The sequence below is a fragment of the Homo sapiens genome, chromosome 13 (assembly GCF_000001405.40).
Source record: "Homo sapiens chromosome 13, GRCh38.p14 Primary Assembly".
Lineage (NCBI taxonomy): Eukaryota > Metazoa > Chordata > Mammalia > Primates > Hominidae > Homo > Homo sapiens.
In genome coordinates, this window is record NC_000013.11 from 62,637,917 (window position 1) to 62,645,274 (window position 7,358).

At 36.8% G+C, this 7,358-nt stretch overlaps 1 annotated feature.

Annotated features, from left to right (window-relative positions):
- Nucleotides 4,866-6,065: an enhancer, noted in NCBI's record as "P300/CBP strongly-dependent group 1 enhancer chr13:63216915-63218114 (GRCh37/hg19 assembly coordinates)". NCBI's record gives its function as "activates an origin of replication core promoter dependent on BRD2, BRD4, P300/CBP, MED14 and CDK7 cofactors, with strong dependence on P300/CBP, by STARR-seq in HCT116 cells {active_cell/tissue: HCT116}" and the evidence as "EXISTENCE:reporter gene assay evidence [ECO:0000049][PMID:35650434]".

A 7,358-nucleotide genomic window follows, 5' to 3' on the forward strand; every position in this document is an offset into this window, starting at 1 on the left:
ATTTTATATGTAAAAGGAATAGTAATTGATTAACTCTACCCCATCTCCTTCATCATTCTGCTATCAAAAGTATCATATTTTTCAGCCTTATATACTTAGACTTCTTAATATCTGTATAGATGTTTTCTGTGATTTATATATGTGAGATAATATAATCTATTTGGACTACACAGCTTTTTTATATAAACACTTTAAATGACATTTTTTTCTTTTTTACCTGATTACCTTAACTGTTTACAAATTCTACTTTATAGTTTACAAGACATTATGTTGTTTCAGAGAAAAGCTCCTATCAACTGTGTTTTTCCTCTGTTCTCCCACTGCCAAGTCAATCACCAATACAGAAGCAGACTGCTGTGACCAAACGTGTTGGTATTTTCCCCACACACCAAGCTGCAGACACCAGCGGAGTGTCCTCCAATTCAATTGTCACACTATCTACCTAGAGATAGTGTCAGATCCCACATGTTGGGTGCTGAGTCCCCAAGATTGCCCCACTCCCTTTAGATGCTTGTCACAGGTCCAAGCCTCTGGAACTTCTGACCCACTGGTTTCAAGTTGGGGTTCCCATGAGCCCCTGTTTGGGTCGGATTAATTTGCTGGAGCAGTGCACAGAACTCAAGGAATCACTTACACTTACCAGTTTATTGTAAAGGATATGACAAAGGATACAGATGAAGTGACACACAGGGCAAGGTATGGGGGAAGGGGTGTGGACCTTCCATGCCCTCCCTGAGTACAGCATCCTCCAGAAACCACCATGTGTTCCACTTTGTAGAAGCTCCTCAAACCCAGGCCTCGGGCTCTTATGGAATCTTCATGATGTCAGCATTCCTTCTCCCAGATTGTAGGGTGGACTCCTCTCTGGAGAGGGTCTTAAGACCCACAGTCAGAAAGGCATGGGAAGTTTAGAGCCCTGCCTTTGGGCAAGTACAAGGAAGGTAAGAGCGAGATTCTGTTTCCTGAGTTCTAAAACAGCCAACATGATAACAAAAAACTTTAATAAGGGCTATGGGAGTTATAAACAAAAAACCATGAATGAAAACCAATATATATCATAACACCACATATATAAAAAATAAGAACAAACAGAACTATATATAACTGTTTGCACAAATTCATCTTGCTAATTTTCCAAATATTTAATAGTGTATATATTATTAAATCTAATATAAATGTTAATGTCTCAAAAACAGCTGTATGAACCCAGGAGCCAAAGCAAAACATTTCAAAACATTTTTCTCAGATTTTGTCACACGATCACTTATTATTTATGTTCTTGATACCAAAAATAATATATATTTATTTTATAATGCTAAATATTTCTGTCATATGTTATGACTATAGCAATGCATAACTACTTTTGGAATCTTAGTGTGATATTTACCTAGGTTAACAATAGAAAATAATATTTTCAACATACACTTTAGTCAATTTGAAATGCAGAAACTTTTTTAAATGAATATTATATCTAATTTGTACACTAATATATTAAATAGATATAATTCAGATATCTTTCACATACCAATTATACTTCACAATTATAGATCAAATCAAAGTTGTCTATTTATAATATTTGGAGTAAGTGAATAGTTTAACATATATTTAAAGAGTTCTGCTTCTTCCTCCATAGTCAAACAATTATTTCTAGCTATAACAATAAATAAATTGAGGCACTAATCATGTTTTATGATGATTATGATATAATTTGCTGTTATAAATACATGCAGTTATGATTTTTTTTCCAGGCCATAGAAGCACTCGAAAATTTACACAGACATATAAATATTAGCACATTTATTTTAAATTACTCAAATTTATAACTTACCAGATTTTTATTAAATTGATGCAAAAGTAATTGCGGTTTCTGCCAATAAAAGTAACGCCAAAAACAACAATTGCTTTTGCAGCAACCTAATATCATACAGGAAGAAAGCAGTGATACGTTGGATTCCACAAGGCCTGGTGTTCAACACCAACATTAACATGAATTACAGCATTCTTAGAAACAGGTGCTTTTAGTCACCTCAGGCTAAGATTGCACGTGTCCAGTGGGAAGTAAATCAAAGTTTTCTTAATAAAATATTGCACTGAAACACATATCTGTTAGAAGAAGTGAGTTATTTTATTAAACATGTCTATAGGAATTTAGGATGTTTTATGAAAGTTTTATACCAGTATATACTACAAACTTGGCAATAGTTCCATTTCCCCTTAGAAATGATTGGTCTAGCTATAAAAATCCCTCAAGTCAATTTCTGGTCTTCTATCATTTCCTAAAATTTCTGGGAATTAAGTTGTCTTTCATCAGGCTGACAGAAAACTAGACCTCTGGAAGGGGTATGGGTGTTCCTTTTTAGAAAGTAAGATTATCCTGATGAGTACACTCTAGACTTTCTGCTTTTCTCAAGTGTTACAGTGAAACCTCAAAGACTTCTATTCTGAGTTACTTCTTAAATCTTACATAAGATATGCAAGATAGAAAATTTATATACATTTAGAAAATATACAAATATTCTTTATTATATTGAAAATATTTTATATAGAGTCACTGAAATCTAATAAAATGCAAACATTCATTTGCTCAGCAAATTTATATTGAGTATTTATTAAGTGCCAGAAATATTTTAAGGACAGAAAATAGATTAGTTTATATAATGAAAAAAAATTTTTGTCCTCATGGGCAAATATATCTTGTCTCTTATGTTCTGTGTCAGGAATCTAGTAGCAGTTTACCTGTGTGATTTTGACTCTAGCTTTCAATGTTACTGCAGTCAAAACTAGTCAGGCAGGAATGCAGTCTTATGTGAAGGCTCACATGAGAATGAATCTTTTTTCAAGCTTATTAACATGGCTTTGGAAGGCCTCAGTTTCACATCTACTGTTAGTTCCTCACTGCATGTCTGTCTCTATAGGCTAATGGAGTATCCTAATAACATAGATGCTCACTTCTGTCAAATACTATTGGTCACATAAAAAGACTCTTGGAAAATGTGTAGAGACCACAAAAGGGTGTGAATTCAACTGGCTGGAGATCGTTGTGACCACTTTGGAGGTTGAATATCACAAGGGGTAAAGAATATTATTGCGGAATCCCATAGAAGGTTTTAAGTGGAGAAATAAATGTAATATATTTAAGTTATTGTTAAGAAGGAACAATCTGGCTATCATGTTAAAAATGGATTTAGTTAATAAACCTCTCTAACACGAAGTGTGCAAGCTCTGCTGTTCTACTACAGAGTAAAAGCAAAAGTTTATGTATACATATACACATACACACATATACATGTACACATACATGTACATATATACAAACAGGTATGCATATACACACATACAGGCATACGTATACATACAAACATAGATACATTTAAGCTTCTAGAAATGGCCCTAAGGATAAACAGCAAATCAAGAAACATTTCTTCAAGAAAATCTAGAAATATTTAATAAGAAAGATGATAGTCTGTGGCATTTGAACAAGACCACTTCTTTCTTCCCCACTCCCAGCTCAGTGAGGTGAAGACTGCATTCTAGATTGCTTCAAACAAGAACAGGGCTCCTTCTATACCCATTTTTCAGTTGGAGTGCTTTCTGTTTTAAATAATCAGGACTTGGCATTTCAAATCCTGCCTTAGATATCCAAACATAAGCCTAAGCCCAAGGTTGGTACAGTTGAGAGGTGAGAATTTCCACCTGCTGTCCATCTTCCACCTATGTACTAGAGGCTCTGCCTAGGGCATGGCATGCATAGAATAGTGGGGTCCTCCTTGACCTTGCCCCTGCTAATGCAGTGGCTATTCCATGCCATTAGAAATAAGCCAAGAGGACCTTGGGATGCTGCCTTCACACATCCACATGACTGAGTACTCAGTTTCTAGAACAGGGGGACACTCAGAGAAGTGTAGGCCATTTTCAATCCAGTTCCAGTGCCGTCTCTCAGTGATTTTTTTTCTCACTGAGGGGATAAGCAGGGCTTACAAAAGATAATTTCTTTTCCATTTCCAAGGGTACTGACTTCATTTGAAAGAGTTTGGGAAAATAGATTTGACCTGACAGTAGAAACAATTAGCAAACTTGAAGATAAATTCATTGAGATTATGCAAGCTGACAAATAGCACAAAGAATCTAAAAAATAAACAGAGCCTCAGAGAAGTGTGGGAAATCATCAAGCACACCAATTCACATGTAATAACAGTACCAGAAGGAAAGGAGAGAAAATAGAAACAAAAAAAATATCTTTAAAAAACAATGGCAAAAATATTCCCAAATTTATTGAAGGGCACTAATTCACACATTCCAGAAGCTCAACAAACTCCAAGTAGGATAAACACAAAGAGATCCACAAACAGGCACATCAAATTAAAAATACTAAAAGTCAAATACAAGGAAGAAAATCTTGAAAGCAGCAATAGAAAAATAACTCATAACAAAAAAATCCTAATAAAATTAGCATCTAATTTCTCAGCAGAAACAACGGAGGCCAGAAGGCAGTGGGATAATCAAAATACTTAAAGACAATGACTATCAACCAAGAATCGTGTATCCATGGAAACTATTTTTCAAAAATTAGCAAGACTTTGTAGATACACAAAAACTGAGATAACTTGTTTCTAGCAGACCAACATGAGAGATATGAAAGAAATTTCTTTAGGCTGAAAGCAAATGACCTGAGATAGTACGTCATATACATACACAAAAATAAACGGCATCAATAGGATTATTGTGATGGTTAAATTTATGTGTCAATTTAAGTAGATCACAGGGTGCACAGATTAAACATTGCTGCATATGTTTCTGAAGATGTTTTCTGATCTCATTAGTATCTGAATAGGTGAACTAAAAACAGTAGATTGTTCTCTCCAATGTGGGTTGTCCTGATCTAATCTGTTGAGGGTTTGAATAGAAAAAAGGCAGAGTAGAGGAGAATGCATCTGTTACGCCTGATTGCTGAGCTAGGATATCAGTCTTCTGACTGATTGTTAAATATAAATTCTAAATTTTTCTTCAAAGAATTAATATGTCACTATATTCAATTCTATGCCTTCTACTTTTAAACTTAACTTTCTCGTAAGGCAACATTTCCAATTGCCTACTCCACCCTGACTCATTCTCCATCCTGACTTATTCTTCACCTTGACTCATTCTGATTACCTGCTCCACCCTGACTCATTCTCTGCCTTGACTCATTGCGATTACCTGCTCCACCCTGACTCATTCTCCACTCTGACTCATTGTTATTACCTGCTCCACCCTGACTCATTCTTCACCCTGACTCATTCCAATTACCTACTCAACCCTGACTCATTCCGATTCATTCTCCACCCTGACTCAATTCATAACCATTTTTCCTGCCAAACCACTCACCCTGTCACTCTCTTTAGTCAATCGGAATTAGTTTAGCCTGTGCCGTCTAACCCTAGCCAATAGGAGAACCACACAGCAGTAGGGACCACATGCATCAGGAATAAGAACACCTTTCCCTCCCTTGTCCAGGTGTGTGCTCACCATTGCTCCATCTTGAGGGCATACCCTTCTATAGAAGTACTTTGCCTTGCTGAGAATTGAAAATTTTATGTTTGAGTACTGTTTCTTCTGCAGCACCAAAACTTTATTTATAACACTGATGACTTACTTAAAACAGTGTCTACCCTGGTCCTTAGGACATCAGACTCAGATTGAACTATACCACCAGATTTCCTGGGTCTCCAGCTGGTAGACAGCAGATAATTTTACTTTTCAGCCTCCATAATTGTATAAGTCAATTTCCCTTGTTGCTTTATTTTCTATTTATCTGCAGAACCTCAGATTTCAATTCAAATTTTAGTACCACCCCAGCACCTCTCTTTGCTTCTATACTCAAGTCTCAGCAGGCTCCTAAGGGTAAGATACAAAATATCTGAGGAACATGTGTGGAAATGAATACTGAGAGTGTGGGATAATCATAAAAGAAAACATAAAGTTGGTTCAGGCCAAATTTATTGATATGGGCTCACTAAGCAAACATTCTGCATTTAATTTTGCAGCTTGGGGAGGTAGAAAGTGCACTCAGAGTTTGTGTGAGTAGTTGGGTGAAACTGTGATGGAAAGGTAGCCCACAGTGAGCAAACCGGAAATGCTGCATCTGCTTTCATTTAATGGAGAAAGAGATTCAAAGGCTTAAAGAAATGGAATGTTAGAGTAGATTTGTCATTTAAGACCCACTCACCCACATGGGAGAGTCCAGAAGTCATTCCTGTCACCAACACTGAGAAATTTGTGACAAGAGCCCCAGCATTTTTGAAGAGCTCTGTGATCACTCTGCTCTATAGGCCAGGTCTTTCAGTGAGAACTGCAGGCACTCAATTGGAAAATCTAAATGCAAAGTAGGTAATTGTGTCCTGGGGCAGCAGGGGCCAGGTGGCGGAACTGGCAAGTTGTTGCACTTAACTGCCAAAAGCAGGGTAGGTGCAGTTACCATAATTAACAGCAGAGCTAAAGCAGCAACTGATTGACACAGACACATGGCATTGACTAGTTAATCATGCTATTCCTAGAAGTTAAATAGATAGGAAGCCTACTAAATTCTTACTTGATCTGTGCAAGCAGAAAAGCCTAAGCAAGTAAACAGAAGTCTAACCTGAATCATAAAAACAGAGAGTCATGTTCTCTCCATTAATTTCCAGACATGAGCCAGTTTATAGATCCAGAAACCCTTGAATTAAAAGAAACCTGGGTCCTTTGAGGAAGGACCATGGAACACTGCTGAAAATTTAAACTGTTAATCTCTCTCCCAGTCATCTCCAAAAGGACCAATAGTCTCATCACAGTAACTGTGAATTGGAAAAATTGAAATAATTAAACATTTCTGGGACTACTGGACACTGGCTCTGAATTGACACTAATTCCAGGAAACAAAAAATCATCATTGTGACCCACTAGTCATAGAATGGGCTTGATGAAAATCAGGTGATTAATGGAGATTTAACTAGAGTCTATCTCTCAGTGGACCTAGTCAGTCCAGAACCCATTCTGTGGTTATTTCCCCAGTTCTAGAATGAATAATTGGCATAGATGTACTCAGCAGTAGACAGAATCTCTACAGTGACTCTCTCTCTTACCTGTAGAATGAGGGCTATTATGGTGGGAAAAGCAACTGGAGGCCATTAGAATGGTCTCTACCTAGAAAAATAGTAAAACAAAAGCAATACTGCATTCCTGGAGGACTTGCAGAGATCACTGCCACCATTAAGGATTTGAAGGGGGCAGGGGTGATGATTTCCACCACAACATCATTCAAATCAACTATTTGGCCTGTTTGGAAAACAGATGGATGTTGGAGAATGACAGTGGATTATTGTAAGCTTAACCAGGTGGTGACC